Source organism: Homo sapiens, chromosome 2 (assembly GCF_000001405.40).
Source record: "Homo sapiens chromosome 2, GRCh38.p14 Primary Assembly".
NCBI classification, from domain to species: Eukaryota; Metazoa; Chordata; class Mammalia; order Primates; family Hominidae; genus Homo; species Homo sapiens.
The window spans coordinates 164718181-164737605 of NC_000002.12; the positions used below are offsets into that span (position 1 = coordinate 164718181).

At 34.9% G+C, this 19425-nt stretch overlaps 1 protein-coding gene across 10 annotated transcripts in view; it reads right to left on the minus strand.

Annotated features, from left to right (window-relative positions):
- Positions 1-19425, minus strand: part of COBLL1 (cordon-bleu WH2 repeat protein like 1) — a 184146-nt gene that overhangs the window by 60250 nt on the left and 104471 nt on the right. For 6 of the 10 annotated variants that reach the window (NM_001365670.2, NM_001278460.2, NM_001365673.2 and 3 more), the window contains 4 exons: positions 11734-11935; positions 9789-10017; positions 4245-4342; positions 3895-4131 (listed from right to left, as the gene is read on the minus strand). In NM_001365670.2, the coding sequence (NP_001352599.1) occupies positions 3895-4131; positions 4245-4342; positions 9789-10017; positions 11734-11935 (766 nt within the window). Of the gene's footprint in view, positions 1-3894; positions 4132-4244; positions 4343-8925; positions 8965-9788; positions 10018-11733; positions 11936-19425 lie in introns of all 10 variants that reach the window. The other 4 variants (NM_001365671.1, NM_001278458.2, NM_001365675.2 and 1 more) reach the window with 1 other exon arrangement.

The following is a 19425-nucleotide window of genomic DNA, read 5'->3' on the forward strand; positions in this document are numbered from 1 at the left end:
TTATCAATTCTCTTGAACACCTACCATGTTACAGAATTTTGCTGGAGAACACAATTCCTGCCTTCTGGGTGGGGAAAAGAAAAAGGTAAAATTTAACAATGCTGCAAGCATTAAGCCATAATACAACCCTAAAGTTTATCTTTAGAGGATGAGGTAAGTAAGTCATGTTATACCCATCAATTTAATATTATTCAATCCTTCGAAAAGGGAAGCCCTTTATGAACTGCTAAGAATATCCAGAATAAATAATTCCATACCAAGAAGTAAAGTATAACATGCATGTAGTATATGGCCACCTGAGGAAAAAAAATATTTAGCATGAATATTGGTTTTAATATGCATACATTATCTCTGGAAAGACACACAAGAAACTGTTAACAGTGGTTGCCTCTGGGCAGGAGAACTTGGTGGGGGATAGGGAAGGAGAATTTTTACTGTATTCCTCTTTTTATCTTTAGAATAACATATAAAACCTATACATAATGCAAATTAAGAGAAAATAAAAAGGGACAAGAGGAACAAATTCAGAGAAGGTAAAGATTATTCTGCGCTGGCATCTTCAGAAAACTCTCCATGAATCTGATAAAAGAATGGACATCCTTTGGATGGGTAAGTAGAAATGAAGAAGATGGAAGTGGGGCCATTCCATTCTGAAAAGATACAGAACACAGGATTTTTGCATCAGCAACAATAAGTCAAATCTTCTGGTTAGAGATAGAAGTATCCTATCCTATCAATGAGGAGGCATTAAAAAGTTTAAAAGTAAAATTGTAATCATTCTGTAGAGGATCTTGGATGCCCAGAAAAATGACAACAAGCTATGCAAAATTTCTGAACTGAGAAGTGATAATTAAGAAATACAAATGCAGCAGCTTGCCACGTTGAGAATTTCAAAGACACATTAAGTACTGGTTTTCTCTTTATACTCTGTCCTGGATTTCTCTACAAAAGATGTCAGCAGAGGGAATAAAAGACATCATGAAGGGAGACTGAATGAAGGATTTGTCTCTAATTAGATGTAAAAAGAAAAAAAAACAAAGATGAACTTGAGCTTTTCAGTCTGGTGAAAAACAATGATTCGGATCTTAAATACGTCTTCCAGGTAGTCATGAGTCAATAGCAACTGTGAATTCAAATTGCAACTGGAAGAATACCGAGACTGGAATTACGAAGTTGATGTACAGTTTCCTAGGGCTGCCCTAACAAATTACTGTGACTGGGTGGCTAAAAACAACACAAATGTATTCTTCCACAGTTCTGAAATACAGAAATCTGAAATCAAGGTGTTGGCGGAGTCATGCTCCCTTTGAAGGCATTAGGGAGAACCCTCCCTTGCCTCTTCCAGCTTCCACTGACTCCTGGTAATGGTTCGCTGTGGCAGCATAATGCCAATTTCTGCCTGTCTTCACACGACCTTCTCTGTGTCTCTCTGCCTGTGTGTCTCCTCTTCTTATAAGGATACCTGCCACTGGATTTGAGCCCACCTCAAATCCAATATGAGTTCATTTCTAGATCCTTAAGTACATCTGCAAAAATTCTATTTCTAAATAAGGTCAGAATCACAGGTTTTGGAAGGGTTAGAGCTCAGACATACCTTTTGCAAGGAACATATTCAAACCACTACAGTTGAGAACCATCAGCCCACAAACTCAAAAAAGAAGAGATGTCTTCTCTGAATAAGTGCAGAAATATAGACCAAGACCATGGATTTAGTACCTCCAAATTTAGAAAATGAATAAAAGAAACAGTGACAAGAAAAAAAAAATAGAAGAGGGCTGAGATATAAGAAGAGGTTCAAGACCAAGGAAGAAAAAGACAAATCAAGACCAAGGGGGTAATTAACCACATCAAATATATCAAGAAGTTAGTTGCAGAGATGCCTAGGAAGGTATGAATTTTTGTGTGCACTACAGCTTTATCACTAAGAATTTTTGCAATGAATAAATAAAAAATGGTTCTTCAGCTTCTCTAGGGAAAGACAAATAAGTCTGGGTCCTACTGAACAATACATCAAAGAACTATCCAGATGTCCAGATCAAAAGAAAAAATAATTAGAAAATTGTATAAAGATGTGTAGTTTGCCAAAGGCAACATACTAAAAAAAAAAAGATTACTTAACACAGGGGCAGCAACTGGTCACAGAGCAGAGGGAGAGAATCAAAAGAAATAGCTTTCAGTGAGGTCACTGGTGGCACAGCCCAGAATTTTAAGAAACAGACTATTAGAAAGACAACATAGACCTCTTGGGGAGCCAAGTACAAAGGAAGTTTACTGAAATAGATTGGATGAGGACAGCTGGAATAAAGATTTGTGAGCATGGGCTAAAGTATATTTCTATATATATTAATATATGCAAAAAGGTAGCTACTCAAGAGTATAATTTACACTCTTCTATGATACAACAACCCTAAAAATGCTACTTCTTATTGTGAATAAATTTAAAAGGGCTACAAGCACAAAATAAAGTCTTTGGGACCCTGACTTGACCCCTGCTTACCATGCTTAATTTCAGTCTCTGTTTCTTGCTCATGTCCAGGCAAGCCATCGTGTTCACATTCCTGCGTCTCTTAACAGGGTTCCTTGGCCTAATGCACTCCCACACATATTTTAAGAGTGAACTCAAGAATCATCTCTCCGTGAAGATTCTCCCAACTCTCAAGCAGTTACCCTGCAAATTCTTTGTCAGTATGTGACTCTATAACTTGACAAAAACATTATCCTCCTGATTTGTGAGATTGGATGAGATTTTATAAGATGAGATTTTATACCACAAATACTAAATTAGACAAGAAAGTCTTCATAGAAATAAGAAACTTAATAGATAATTTTCCAAGTACTGAGGTTAAGCATTTTCAAAATTCATTTCTATCTCTTTGAGTTGCATGTATGATAGCCTATAAACTACATTTTAAAACTATGGTTAATTTTTTTTAAGTAAAGGAAGCACAGAAATGTGTACCAGGTGCTTGGGAAGAGTTAATTTACTTTAGCATTGCATTTACTAAGCCCCCAAGGGGGAAACAAAATCTTTCAACTAGACACAAGAAAACTTCTCAGTGTCTCAATTATCTCCAAATAAAATCTGCTCTCAAAGTTACTTAAATCATTCTTTCTGATTACCAGCAACAATATATACAGTCTCATCTTCAATCATATATACCTAAAAATTCATTTATTTTTCACATGGATAAAGCAAGGAATATGCAGATTGTTTAGTCATGAAAAGTAGTTTGCAAATGGATCTCCACAAAATGGCAAACTCAGGGAAAATTTGAGATTAAAGGTGTGTAATAGTAAGAAACTTTGAGAAAAAGGTACACATAGAACTGTGCTTTGAAGATAAGGGTGCATAAAGGTAACTGTGATATATTCTATATAAAAAGGCTCATTTTCTTTTTTCACTGTGGAGTATCTATGTACTAGGTAGATACCAGGCTATTCCCTGGAGAATCTGAGTCAGGTCAAGAAAATACGTGTGGTTAGAAACCCATGAACACAACTCAAAGACTGTGTTACTGTATAAAAAAGAACTATTCAAAAATAAAGACTGTATTTCCATTCCTATTACATGCACCTAGCAAGAGCCCCTAGTTAGGCCTTAGTAAACCAAGACTTTAGGTTTTCAGATTTTTTTTTGCTTGAATATGAAAGTTACTTAAAATGGACATTTATCCTTTACTGCATCACAGACCTGTATGTACATAGAAGATCTATTCCTAGTACCAATCTTAGAATGAGCTATTCATCTTATTACATATTAGTAACTGTTACTAATTACCAACTGTTATAGGACTACTTCTTACTAGTCTACCTAGAAAAGATGTTAGGTAAGAGGAAAAATAAATGGTACACTGCCTCATCCAAAAAAACAAAATAGAAAACAAAACTACACACCTTATCTGTCTCATCCACGCTCATGGATTTCACTATACAAGAAGCAGGCCTCTCCTGGATGTGTGCAAGGTCTTGGGGGACACTCTGAGATGCTGGCATCGGGGGCAGTGGAGCCCGCCTCTTCTTGGGTGCATCCGACGGCAGGGTGTTGGAAATATATGGTTTGGAAATGGTATTGGACCTTGTAAAAGTTGGGCGGTGCTTATTTACTAGAGGGGTTGCAGGGGCACTTGCAGTCTAGTAAAGAATGACAAAGACAAAATCTAGTAATTTCAAGATATTAGTAAAAAGCATTAGTAATTAAAAATAATTGAAGAATCTTACAAAATGCAATATAAGAAAATACTTACTTGGTCTCGCTTTTTCTTACTGCGTTGAAAAAAACTGAAAAACCCTTTATTTTCTTTCTCCTTCATAATATCTAGGTTTTGTGATATTTGGCAGGACTCTAAAATAGAAGAAAAGCATCTTACTTTTGTATGTGAGGTTGACTGTTCACTTCCAAGATTTCTTTCTCTTACTTCCCCTTTGCAAACTTATCTAATGCTAAAAGCTACTAATTATAGTCTACAAAGAAGCACCTTAAATCTTATTAAGTTCTCAAAGCAACAAGCAAATATTGTTCCTATTTCACAGCAGAGGAAACTGAAGCTTAAAAAACTAAGATACATAATCCAGGCCAACACTCAGGAAATGACAGAGCTACGACACAAACTCAATTTTTTTGACTCAGAGTCTGTGTTCTGCTTTTGAAGTATAGAAGCAAAATAGAAAGGACACTTCAAATTACACAAGACATGAAATCGCTACCACACAGTTTGTTCCTTTATTTTGATTATACTTTTGTCTCACAGCTAAACAACTATGAAATATCTTATTCTACAAAATGTGAGTCATTATAATTGCTCAGTACTTTGTTAAATGTTTCATAAAAGTTATTTCTTTAATAGGGTGGGTCTCAACTGGGACCAATTTTGTCCCCCAGAGGACATTTGACAAAGTCTGGGGACAATTTGATTGCCACCATTGGCAATGAGGTTAGGAGACTGTGCTGTCTGCATTTACTGGGTAGAGGCCAGTGAGGATTCCAAACATAGCACATTGCAAAAGACAGTCCCTAATGACAGAATTATCTTGTCTCAAATGTTAATAGTGCTGAAAATTAGGAAGCCCTACTTTAGTTAGAAGGGCAAATGTCAAACCTCAAGGTTGTATACATAATATTTATATAAAATTTTCCAAAAAGCATCTCCTAATATCAACTGAAGGGCCTACAAACAATGACACAGCCAGTAGTGCTGAGCCTCCCTGGCCCAAATTGGCTATAAATTCCATTTCCCATTAAAAGAAACCATGATTACTTGAGAATGGTTGATTCTCTGTTGGTATCAAAGAATCTACAAGATAAACTTGGGACATCTAGCCATACTAGAAAGAATGCTATCAAAGTCTACCAGGTTGTGTTAAAAGGACTCAGGAACCAACTTGAGACAGTTTCTACTGGTAAAAATAAGGATAATTTGGACATCATAAAAGTAACTCAATAAACTGAAACATGTCACATGTGTTTAATTTCATATGTTCATAATGATACTAAAAAAAAAAAACTCTTTTTTCACCTTTGTGTTATGCTAGAGAACCAGTCCATTATTTTAAAAACTGATGAAAGGAAATCATCCAACTTTTATTATACCTTTTTCTTTTCTTATTTATTTATTTATTTATTGAGACAGTCTTTTTTTGAATCTCACTCTGTCGCCCAGGCTGGAGTGCAGTGGCGTGATCTTGGCTCACTGCAACCTCTGAGTCCTCGGTTCAAGCGATTCTCCTGCCTCAGCCTCCCAAGTAGCTGGGACTACAGGCATGCATCCCCATGCCTGGCTAATGTTTGTATTTTTAGTAGAGACAGGGTTTCGCCATATTGGCCAGGCTGGTCTCGAACTCCTGGCCTCAGGTGATCCACCCGCCTCGGCCTCCCAAAGTGCTAGGATTACAGGCATGAGCCACCTCATCCAGCCTATTCTACCTTTTTCTGATTGAATTCGACTTATGTAGCAGTCATATAGCTGACACGGAGAACCTTACTTTTTCAGTAATATTGACTGCAATAGACTTTCACCATTTTTCAAATCTTAATTAACTAAGATGTAGACAAAGATCATTGATGGCTAACATCAGAAAAAAATAACTCGTTGTTACATGTTTGCTGATGGAAGTACACAGCAACACTTGTGAAGTATTCTTGCCAAAAAATCTCTCGCCAAAATCTGATCAAGCCTCTAGATTTAACCATCAATTTACAGGAAAGAGAGGGGAAATTTACATTGAAATAAAATTTCAATGACATTGGCAATAAGTTAAACATTAAGTGACACCACAGGAGGCAAACAGTAAAAATCTGAACACGGGAAGCTATAAAACAAATGACCTAGTTTCTTCAATAAATGAGTAGCAAATTTTTCTAAAAGGTTGGAAAAACAATGAGTGGTGATCTGTAAAACTAAAAAAATATTTCTTCTACTAAGCAACATATGGATTTTATGGTAAATCACAATATAATTTCAATAACATTTGACATAAAATATTGTGTATTAAAATTTGTGAGACATAACTAAAGCTAAACTAATAGATAAATATATAGTCTTAAATGCTTTTATTTAAAATACCTGTCTAAGAAAACCAAAATAAATTATGGCAAAATAGGGACTACTTCAGGAAAGGAAAGCTAGTTAACACCAAATAAATACAATAATACAATATGCCTCAATAACATATGAAAGGAAAACTATTTTACAAAGTAAAACTTTTAAATCTGATGATTCAAATATTAAATAAGCAGCATACATTCTGCACAATGAGTTTGACAATGCTAGCAACTAATAATAACGAACACGTAGATAGCACTTTATGGTTAAAGTTTTTTTGCATGCCTAAATGTTTCTTAGAATGACCTTGTGAGGGAAGTATCAAAAGTTATCACTCTGAGCCCTTTTTCTCATTGGAAGATGCTAGCATTTACCCTGCAGGATATATATATATATATATATATATATATATATAAAATGAAAGCAGTGGTATTACTCCATTACGCTCTCAGGAACTATAAGTGAACAGAGAGTTTTCGTAACTTGCACAAAGACAAACAGGCATTAAACAGTAGAACTAAAACTGGTATCCATTTAAAGATTATTTATATTTGTATTATTTTTACATTTGCCACTATTTCAATTTAAGATGGAATACACCGCTTATCGCATATGGATACACAATTAAATTTACTCAGAACAGTAGATGAAAAATTCATATGGTTGTGCAATACAATAAATATAACCAGAATATTTTTTATTTTTTATTTATTTTTTTGAAACGGTCTCACTCTGTCACCCAGTCTGGAGTGCACTGGCAGGGTCATGGCTCACCACAGCCCTGACCTCCCTGGGCTTAGGTGATCCTCCCACCTCAGCCTTCTGAGTAGCTGGGACTACAGGCATGTGCCACCACACCCGGCTAATTTTTGTATTTTTTGTGGAGATGGGATTTTGCCATGTTTCCCAGGCTGGTCGCAAATTCCTAGGCTCAAGCAATCTTCCCACCTTGACCTCCCAAAGTGTTGGAATGATAGGTGTGAGCCACCGTGCCTGGCCCATATGGTTATTTTTGGTGAAGAAATTTTCAGGTACATGGTCATCCTCCACACTAGTTAGCCATTAAGTTTTCACTTAAAGCTCTACATCAGGGATCATAGCAAGTCAGGTTAAACAGTAAGACAAGCAAAGGCTTTAGCTTACTTAGAAAAGCAACTCAAATACTGTAGTTTCCTGTTTCTAGAAGGCAGGCTAAATATAATTGCATGGTAAGTTCTAAGTTTTCAAAATAGTATCAGAAAAAATAAGGAGGCAAGGGTAGTGACAGCATTTGGATTGACCTTGTAGATTCTGATACTGTAAACTTTCTTAATTTTAATATTTCACTCTCTTAAGATTTGTCCACAACATTTCATATTCTAAATAAACCACATCCTTCCATTACTGGAAGGGATATTAGAAATCAGTGCATTCGACAACCTCAAAATGAGGCCAGAAAGTTTATGGAATTTGCTTAGGATTATGCAGATAGAGAGTGGCAAAATTAGGAGTAAAAGTCAAGTACAAGTAATAAAATGTTGTTGCTAGAAAGAACCACAGAGACCACTATTTCTAATCTCCTATTATTATAGAAGTAGAAGGTGAGATTTCACTAACACATAATATATGCAGTTTGTTAAGGCTTGTTTTTTTAGTAGGCTGGTAATTATTAGGGTAATCAATTATTTGAGACTTTTTCTTAATGGGTGAAAAAAGACTTCCACAATTTATTATTGGGCAATTTTTAATACAGTTTTTCTCTATGAAAGGAATGTATGCCCATTATATAATTCTGTATTATAAAGAAAATAAATAATAAAAAAATCACATACCATAACCCTACCACCCAAAGGTAACCACTATTGAAATTTTTTATGTATTTCCTTTCAGCAATTTCATATAAAAGCATTTATTCACCTATTGTGTTAAACACACTTATATGGTATAAAAGCTAATTTCAACATAAGCATTTTCCATCTTATTACAAAATATTCACAAACAATGACTGCAAAATTTCATATGATTAATATAACACCATTATTCTGAATTACTGTTCAGTGAAATAATCTGAAATGCTTCCTCGGTACTACCAAGCTATTAGCATTTGTACCCAGTAAAGATCCTAGTAAATCATTTTTCCTTGTATGAGAGTAAAGAATACGTTTTCCCACACTGTTAGAATAATTTTTAAACATTTGTTGAAATGAAATTATTATAATTAAATTCAGAAATCAAGGGGAAGGAACCTATACATTTTTCAAGGAAATAAAACCCAAATATTTTCTAGGTTAAAATCTCATACAGAATGAACACGTTAGTGATGTTAAGAAAGGGTAAAATTAGAAGCTTAATTTCAATATATCCAATTTCATGTTATAATTTGTTTCTACTGATTCATACATCTTACCTTGTAAAGATGACTTACTGAAGACAGTAACAGAAGTGGCTACAGAAGGAGGGGTATAAAAGAGGGTAAATTGACTGTGAAGATGATGTTTGTTCAAGTATAAAACATCACTGAGTTGAAAAAGTAGTCTATGGATTACATAAAGCCACCACCTCAGGATAAATTTTGAAGTCTCTATGCAAAGAGTATGTAAATAATTGTCAGCTTCACTAAACTTTTATTTCTCTTAGTGAAACAGATTCATGTTGAATAAATGTTTGCATTTGTCTACTAGACATCATACAAACCAGCATTATCTAAGATCTCCAAATTTTAATACATCATTTCTATAGATTAAAACTGGGAGCTATTTCAAAAATTTTTTGAATTAGACTGATACATTTCATAAGCCAACTTATTTTGGTGTTGACCTTAGGAAAAATTTGGCAAGAAACTTCCAAACTTGAATGATAATTAAGACTCAGACAAAATCATAGTGAGTCCACAGTAATTCACACTTGATTAGAATAACAATGACTTTATATGTAAATTTTTATTTTCTGTTTAAGCCTCAAAGCCATGAAGAATTAAGTTAAATCCTACCAAAAAAAAAAAAATCAAAGAAAAAATATAAATTGTGGATGATGGCTAAAAAGACAAGTTTTAATTCCAATTTCAATAACTGAAATTAAGTTGTTATATTTAACTTGATTTATATTTATTAACATTTTGTTTTCTTATTCCTAATGCCAAGTAATTACTTTTATCTATAGGACCCATTAACTGCCATTATGAACTTGAGAACACCTTCACACAAACACAATGCACAAACATATACAAATATACACATCCCACTAAATAAATAAAATAAAAGTCTTACTTACCTCTGTTGACATCCATCGCATATAATTCTCTTAGTCCCAGGTCATTAAGAGATTTTGTCAAGTCAAGAGGCTCCTGCGATTGATAATCTTTCAACAATAGTGTATGCAACGGATCAAACTCACATTTGCTACATATAATAGGGGCAAGCTCTTGAAGCGATGCATGTGGACTCACTCTCACTATGGTCTTCTGTGTTTTCTTAAAATTAATCACTACTCTCACAGTTTTCTGAAACACATATTAAAGCCATAGTTGTACCATAATTCACTGAAACAAACACTCTACAATAATGTCTAGAATAATGAGATAACCTACAGTTACATATTCAAACAATAAACAGTACTTTCCTATTTGGTGTGAAATTCTCTTTTTGATTAATGTTACTTCCTAAATCCAAAGCAAGTTCTTAGAAGCAAACACATTAGTTTATTTATTAAATAATCCAACCATTCTATAGTAAGATTTTAATTAAATTTGACCCTAAAAAACTAGCCTCATATCTAGTACTACTCATGTTTTCACTTTGTTCCTTAAAATATTTACTTTAAAATTAGCAAATATACATAGTACAAAATTATGTATATTTTATCCTACCCTTTGAGGAATATTTATCTTTCAAATAATTTCTCTATTGCCTCAATAAAAAGGGGTATTTTGGTTAAGTCACTAAAATTTTTGTTTCTATTTGAAACATTATAAATGAGATAATCCATATGAAAAGCTTAGCAGACTTCCTGGCACATAGTCATTTATCAATAAGAGAACATTAGCTATTGTGATTAACTTTTGTTGTTACTATTACTACTTTGGCTAATTTTAATGTTTTAGTAAAGAATATTTAAATCTCTTCATTAAATATCTAGTACTAATAATTTAAAATTACTACAAAGATTTTAAGCGTCTCATCATTTTATGTAATTGAATTAAATCCTGTATGGAACTTAGCAACATGAGACCATACTAAGTGAAACGTACATTTTGCAGGTCCTTAAAGACCTTTATTCACAAAACTAAGACCCTTTGTATAATCCCACGCTATAGCATAAATATAACTATTTCCATCTAGAAAAACAGCAGGGATATGTAATAAACACCTAGACAGAAACAAATACCTAGACAGAAGGCAGTCCAATATCCCAATATATATTAATAATATTAAATCATATATTGTAGAAAGCAAGTATGTTTTAATATTTTCAAAAACTCACCTTCTTTGAAAAAAGCTTCATAACAATATGAAGAAAATGCAAGAATATGTATATTTAAGTCACATGTATCAATTTAATATACAAACTTTTATATATATTATAAAATGAAAATGGTTGATGTTCATAATGAGAGTATTTCTTGAAACCCATAAAATTCTACCCTATTGCTTATAGCAATAGAACAATTTTAATAAGAACTGATATTAGAATTATTGTGGTTAAACATTTTTGCATGAAATTTGTACATTAAAGAAAATGGAGTTAATGTGTGGCACACATTAATAGTTTAGATGTTAATAAATTCAAACACAATGAAGAACTCGAAAAAAAAACAAAAACACACATACAAATAGATGTTAGTAAGTTACAACTGCTGCTTACCAAGTACACAGAAGCCAAAAAATTACTTTAAGAAATTATTAATTTTCATGAAAAGATTCTAAAACCTTCCTTTACATATACTTTTTAAAAGAGTAGCTTAAAATACAAATCATTCATAATTGTTACATACTTATGCAATCATATTGATCATTTTAGAGCATTAAATCTAAAGTACTGCCCAAATTCTATTTAATCCAGGGATCAATAGCCAACTGAATCCTAAACAAAGTGCCTAGAAAAACATAATACTCACATTCACATCAAATTTAACCAGTAAAGTCCATTTTTATTTCACTTACAATGAGCTGCTGATAATGACTGAATAAGACATCAAAATATATAATGGAATTCTTACCTCTGGTATTATAGGTGTAGGTTTTTTCTTATCCAACATTTTTGGCTTTAAAATTACCTTCTCTACCTCCAACATTCCTATTGGTGTGTTTGGCTTAAATTTAATGTGGTTCTGTTCAGCTGACAACAGATCGATTGTGTAACTTGATGGATTTAAGTGATACTGTGCACAAAGGAATATCAACAAGTCCATCATAGGTTTACTGTAAAACAAGAGTATTTCATTACCCGTTATTGTTTTGAGGATTTTCTTAGAATGCTTGTCTTCAATAGATAAACAAGTCTACAAGATAGTTTTTGGAAAAGCAGCTTAAATATTGAACTACAGGTCAAGCTACAGGCCAAGGCAGGAGGACTGCTTGAGCCCAGGAGTTGGAGACCAGCCTGGGCAACATGGCAAGACCCTGTATCTACAAAAAATAAAAAAAAAAAACAATAGCCTGCTGTGGTGGGTGTGTGCCTGTAGTCCCACCTACTCAGGAGGTGGAGGCCAGAGAACAACACGAGCTCTGGAAGTTGAGGTTGCAATGAGCCGAGATCGCGCCACTGCACTCCAGCCTGGGCAACAGAGCAAGACCCTGTCATAATAATAATAACAATAAAAACAACAACAACAACAACAACAAAAATAATCTCCAAAAAAATTGAACTACAAGATATTTAAACAGACAAAATTGTAATAGTTAAAAAGTCCTGGGATAGTCAAGAGAGCATAGATCCTAGTGTCAGTTCAACAACTACTTTTATGTTTTTACCAAATTGTTTCCAAATTATAAATTTCAGGAGGAGGAGTCCTTTCCTTACCCAAGAGCAGTCCTTCACAACACATTATTTGTAATATAACATTGGCAGTCTTTAGCTTATGAATTGGTTACAAAGTTCTCATAAGAATGAAGCATTTGGAACCACCACCACCACTTTTTGGCTTTAGAAAACAGACTGTAAATATCTGCATAGGAAGTCCACAAAATCCTAAAAGGTGTAGTACAAATTCTTTAATCATCCAAAGGTTATGAATATTCTCTAGGCACTGGAATCACAGTACAAGTATTATAGTATATCTGTTCTCATAGATCTAACACTCTACTGGATGAACTAAACCAAGTGTCAGCAAACCACAATGTGCAGGTCAAAATGGGCCCACAGTCTGTTTTTGTAAATACAGTTGTATTAGAAAATAGTCATGCCCGTTTGTTTATATAACGTCTCAGGCTGCTTTTGTGTTAGTTACAACAGCAGAATGGAGTAGGGTGACCACACCTACTATATAGGCATAGCCCACAAAGCCTACTATTTTTATTTCCTGGCCCATGATAGAAAACGCTTATCAGCTCTTGTGCTAGAACATAAAATTGAAATAAAGTAAATGCATGAGATAATTTCAAATAATGAATGAATGTTTAATACTATTGGTAATACAGGACTTATTTCTATAGAAACTTTCATACCCAACTTGGAATTCAGGGATACTTACCAATTTTTTGCTTCCCTTTCCATAGATTCTCATTGTTGACACAGACTTATATTTTCATTCATATCACTGACAGAACAACATAGTCTCTGAGTCTTTCTTAATACTGTCATCCCTTAAGGAAAGCACACTAAAAAATCTTTGGTATCATGTGCTTTCCCCAAATGTCAGGTGATCCTAAACTGTTAGTTCACACTTAAGAATAAGGCACTAAACCGCAGTGTGTACATCGTATTTTTACAGATGGAGGCATAGGTTCATGGGATTCACTTTAGGGTAATCGGGTAGCCAGCCATCTGCATCCCACCTCGAAAGGGAAATGCACATATCAGTAAAAAGTTATTCTCCAATTTCTTGACTAGAGATATAAACCTGGTTACTGGCTTTTGGGAACTTGACAGGGAAATGGGGCTAGAAATCCCACCATTCAGTATGCTACTTTTATTTTAGTGCACCTGTTTTCATACGGCACGTCACCCCTAGTAAGCTCCCAGGCCTGCAGCCTCTGATGCAGTTCTTCCAGACAAGGAGTCTCCTGCAGAGGTGGGGAAGGATTCACTGTCGGACACTGTGTGGTCTTGAAGTCAAACAACACGTTACATAGATTTCAGATCATCCCGTGTTCAGCCCCCATCTCTACTTTCTGTGGTCGCTGCCTACTCCTAGGCCAGTCCAATCTTTATGGGATAAGGAGTATGTTTCTCAACGGTCCCTCACACATCCCTTCTCCCCCACATACAAGTAGCACCCTATTACTTGTATATATATAAAGAAAAATAAATAAATCAAAGGTTCTAAGTCCCTCAATTTAAAAAAAATTCTCAGGAATACATTTCAATTCTCAAAATACATTTCCTGTGTCTTTATTAGATGGTTGCATAATATTTAAGAGTTTTACATCCTTCTTTTGAGCCACAGGCTATGCCCATAAATGTATCTATATTGCCCATGTTTTGGCTTTAAACAGGACATTTTAAATTTCATCCAGAGAGAGACTAGCAAAATGGTCTTGTGGAAGTTGATTTTTTGGTAATATGGTACTCTACAAGAGCAATTGGATGGCACATACCAATTCTAGACTTGGAAATAGTACTTTCTTTGATAGTAAATAAAGTTAAGAAGGATTAGGTAATGTCTAGTTATATACTATTATAAATGCAGTTTAGCTGGAAGAGAAGAGAACTTTCATTGCCAACTGAAGGGGTAGCTGTCTGCTGTTGTCTATGAGTAAATGATGATACATGCAGACTGTATTTCTTTCTCTCTATATATAAATGTGTCAAGTAATAAATGTAAAAACATTGAAGCTCATTCTTCCAACATCTTTTACTTCTTAAATATACAGTTTTTTTGAATCTTTGCCAGAAATACATAAGTTAACAAGACAAATGGCCGGGTGCGGTGGCTCACGCCTGTAATCCCAGCACTTTGGGAGGCCGAGGCAGGCGGATCATGACGTCAGGAGATCAAGGCCATCCTGGCTAACGTGGTGAAACCCCATCTCTACTAAAAATACAAAAAATTAGCCAGGCATGGTGGCAGGTGTCTGTAGTCCCAGCTACTTGGGAGGCTGAGGCAGGAGAATAGCGTGAACCTGGGAAGCGGAGCTTGCAGTGAGCCGAGATCACGCCACTGCACTCCAGCCTGGGTAACAGAGAAAGACTCCATCTCAAAAAACAAAACAAAACAAAACACAAAACAAAAAATTATTAAAGTTTTGTTTGGTTTTTATCCCTATTTTTGTGCCATAATTTTCATCGTTTATGTATAAACATATAAACATTTAAAATACATTTTTGATTTTTTTAAAAAGAACAATTTGATTCCTTGTGTAGAAACATTGGTATTTCTATCTGTGATAAATTAATTTTCTAATCTAATAAATAGTGTGGGTAATTGGTTAAGAATATTAACATAATGGCCTATTCCCTCAGTCATTTTATTTATCTAGAAACTTTACACACTATATCAGATATCATGAGAAAAAAGTTGCCGACTATATCATGACCTTTGCACTCAACACTGCCTATATGTTTTCTACTAAAAATGCCTCTTTGAGAGGCAACTGAAAACCACAGAAGTTCTTTATGAGTTTATTCTCTCATTTTATAATTCTAGGTCCAATTCTTTATTCAATAATTTCAGAAGCCAAATTTGTCTTGAAAATATTCCTATTGCCAGACAAATAAATGCAGCAATCCAGAAAGTTCTGCAATAGACATAACTACATATGTGAATTTAATACTGCATATGAATTGTTTCTGGGGAAACAACTGAATTTTCAGTAAGTGGTACTGGGAAAACTATCGGATGAAAAAGAAAAGTTGTGTATCTAACCTGATTCCTTACACCAAAGTAAGCTCCATGTGGATCTTTCTATGGTTTGTGTTTTACAGTAATATGCCCAATGGAATTTTCTGCACTGATGGAAACGTTCTATATCTGCACTAACACAGTGGTTACTGGGATAGTGGACTCCCAAACCAAATTTTTTATTCAAATTAATTTAAATTCAATATAAGTAGACACATTTGGTGAATGGCTGCCATACTGGATAGAGTAATTCTAACACGCTGGTTCTCAAGGTGTGATACATAGACCAGCAGCATCAGTATCTGCTGGGAACTTGTTAGAAATGCAAATTGTCAAGCCCCAGCCCAGATCATTAATCAGAAACTCTGGGAATGAGGAAGAGCAATCTGTGCTTTGACAGGCACTCCAACCTATTCTGATCATACTGTAGTTTATGAAGTTTATGAAACTGATCTAGAGAGAAGAGAAAAAAGAAACAAGTAAAATATATAAAATATCAGATGGTGTTACATGCTCTGACAAAAAAAAAAAAAATAAGGAAAGAAGTTAGGAATGTCCTAATTGAAAAATGACACCAGAATTGAGACCTTGAAGGGACTGGGATATCTGCGGAAAGATAGCTTTGACAAGTACAAAAACCCTGAGGCAGGAATGTGCTCTAAGTGTTTAAAGAAAAACAGAAACTAGTCGGCTAGTGAAAACAATAGGCATGAAATCAGGGTGATAATCTTGTAGTGTTTAAAGGCCTTTCAAGTGAAGACTTGAGATTTTACTGAGTGAGACAGAAAGCCTCCAAAGAGTTCTGAGGAGTGATGTGATCTACTCTACTTTTTAAAAGGATTACATTCTGGTTTTTGTATTCAAAATAGCCTGGAGGAGCAGCTACAAGGTTATTGCGAAAATTTAGGTGGGAGATGGTGGTGTCCTGGACTACTCAGATTCTAGATACATTTTGTAGGGAGCTGATAGGATTGAAGCTAATGCAGAAAGGAGACAGAGACAGAAAGAGGAGCTAGCCAGTGGAAAGAGGGCAGGATTGGAGGGACAAAGTGGCAGTGTTGCTGAAAGTAACCAACAGGAGACCTAAAATGCAAATTTCAATGGTTTGCTATGTGATGTGCTTACTATAACTCTACAAGCCATCACTAAGGTTCTGGTAGCCTTGGGAGGTGTCAAATAAAGGATGAAATTTCAAAAGCAGAAACTGAAAAATATGAATCCAGAGGTGGTAAGGCATAAAGTCAGAGCCAGAGGTGACCCCAAGAACGTAAAACTCTTGGGAGTTTACAATGAGATTATAAAGGGCATTGAACCTTCCACAGGAAGTGGAACAGGGGTTCAGGCCAGCCTTACTTAGATCTTAAGCAGCAGAGTGACCTCAAGAAGTTAACTGGGTTCTGTGTGTACATAGATGTGAGCTCCCCTCTAGCAGGACCACATCTTAGTAATCTTTAGGCACCTGGCTAGGTCGCTGTTGTCGAATGGGGAATTTAGAGAAAACAGTGATTAATTCTGCTTGAAAGTCAAGGGGCTCAAATGCATAGTAGACTAATACAACTGACACATGAGAAAGCATACTTGTTGAGAGGAGGTTCATATGCTTTAGAAAAAAGTAACATGGTGAAAGCTCTGTTGTTTTTTATAATTAATAAGCTTGTTTTGCCTAAGCCATACCATCTTTACACAAAGGTGAGACATAAACATTAAATAGGGTTAAGATCTTTTCCAAAAATAGACTCAGACTAGTTTGAATGCTTTAAATATTTAATTGAAGCCTCAGCATTCAGCACTGTAACACAGGAAAGCTGACCCTGACCACAAGATTTTGAGGTTGGGAATTACTGACTGTCTAGCTTTACCATAAAGGAGTCATAACACTACAAAAGTAGGACATTAACTTTTAAGCAGGTCGTGCTTCCAATGGAGCTGCCGCTGGGGTTAACTAGTCACAAAGTGCACCCACAGGAAATAAAATAATCGCTTGAATAGAGCTCAGAATTATCCACCTGGATGCCAAACTACTTCTGCCAAAGATAACAATTCTGGTTGGATAATCATCCCCTAGTTGATGCACCTGAAGGCAGTTGGCTAATGGGTTTGACCACAGGATCACCACAGAAAAGATGCCTGTCTTCCTGTTTCCTAAGGCAGGAGCACACGTGAGCAGTCCATCTAAAACCTGAGGCAAATCATTAAAAGTGGAAAAGGATTGGATGAACATTATAATCACTCCTCTATATTATTACACCACATTGAATTTTGGGTTATTTTATTACTCAGCAGAGTCTGCTTTGCATTAACATTATTTACAGAATTTTTTCTCTTGTAAGATAATATAATAATTTTCTAGAGGGCTGATTTTTTTTTAAGACTCTAAAAGCTCTTCTTTGAAATGAAGAAATCCCTATGAGATTTCCCACTTCTTTCAGAAATAAATAACAATTCCCTGGATTAGTTTCATATCTGTACCTTGTAAGTGCACACCAACAACCCAATTACACATACCAGTAATAGTACAGAAATTTTAAAACATTCTCTATTGCTGCTGATGTTTATCAATCTTATGCTAACCCATGTAGTTCAGTAATGAGTTCAGGAATGAAGCAGTGCTCTCTCTGTGTGTGCAAGAAATGAAATGTACCAGGTACACGAAACAAATAGACCCATTCTCAAAATTGAGAATGCTTATTATGCTATAAGAAATATTTTGAAGAAAATAACACATGAAATTAAGATTTGAAGATAAATAGTAATAGGTCAGATTACTAAGCTGATAAGTTCTTAACATACTAAAAATAGATATTACTAAATGTAAAAAGCCCCACAATTTTTAGAAAGTCACCACTTTGGACTCTATCTGGTTGTTTATCTTAGGTGTTATACTCAGAGCTAATTATAAATAATTACCATCATAAAAATTGTGATTTAAGAACACACCTACTAAACACACATACATGCCCCTTATAAAAACAAAAATACTACAAATATATCTCACTATAATTGGGGCAATTTGAATATAGACAAAGGATAACATTTTATTGACATGAAAGATGGAAATCATTAACTGAAAAAAAGCAGGTTACAAATAGCACGTACAATATAATACCATATTGTTGTAAAAAAGAAGTGCACATATAGATGGGTGTACATATATGTGCATGCCTAAGAATAAAAGGCTAGACACTGCAATGTTAGAAGTTGCAATCTGCCTGCTTAATGAAATTGCATTTACAATTTTTTGGCTTATCTGTATTTTCCAACTTTCTAAAACATCTAACTATTGCACTTGTAATCACAAAAATTTAAAAACTAAAATTAGTGCTGAGCACGGTGGCTCACATCTGTAATCCCAGCACTTTGGGAGGCCAAGGCAGGACAATCACTTGAGCCCAGAGTTTGAGGCTGCAGTGAGCTATGATTACACCACTGCACTCCAGCCTGGGCAATGGAGTGAGACCCTGTCTCTAGAAAAATTTAAAAATTAAATTAAGTTAAAAAACTGAAATTAAAAAGGGTCATTATTATAAGGTGTAGACGCCAGGAAAGCAAAGGGAAGAGGGTGGCCCTGCCAGGAACAATGTTCTGAGGACATTTGTGAATACTTTGTCACCCCTTTCCCAACCAGGGGAGCAGGCAGGTGACAGAGGCTGACATTCTCCTGGGCTCAGAGCCATGGGGGACATGGGAGGGCAATGACAGAACCTAGATGACAGGATGATTAAAAACTCAAATAGTACCGATTAAAAACTCAAGTAGTACTGTTATGTCTAGGTACTTGCACAGTTAAAATGCCAACTTTTGTTTTAGGCAATTACAGCAGAATAAGGATCTAAACCAAAATTTAAGCATCTTATATAGTTAAACATGGTTTGTACCACCCTATAGATTTTTGACAGTTAAAAAAAAATT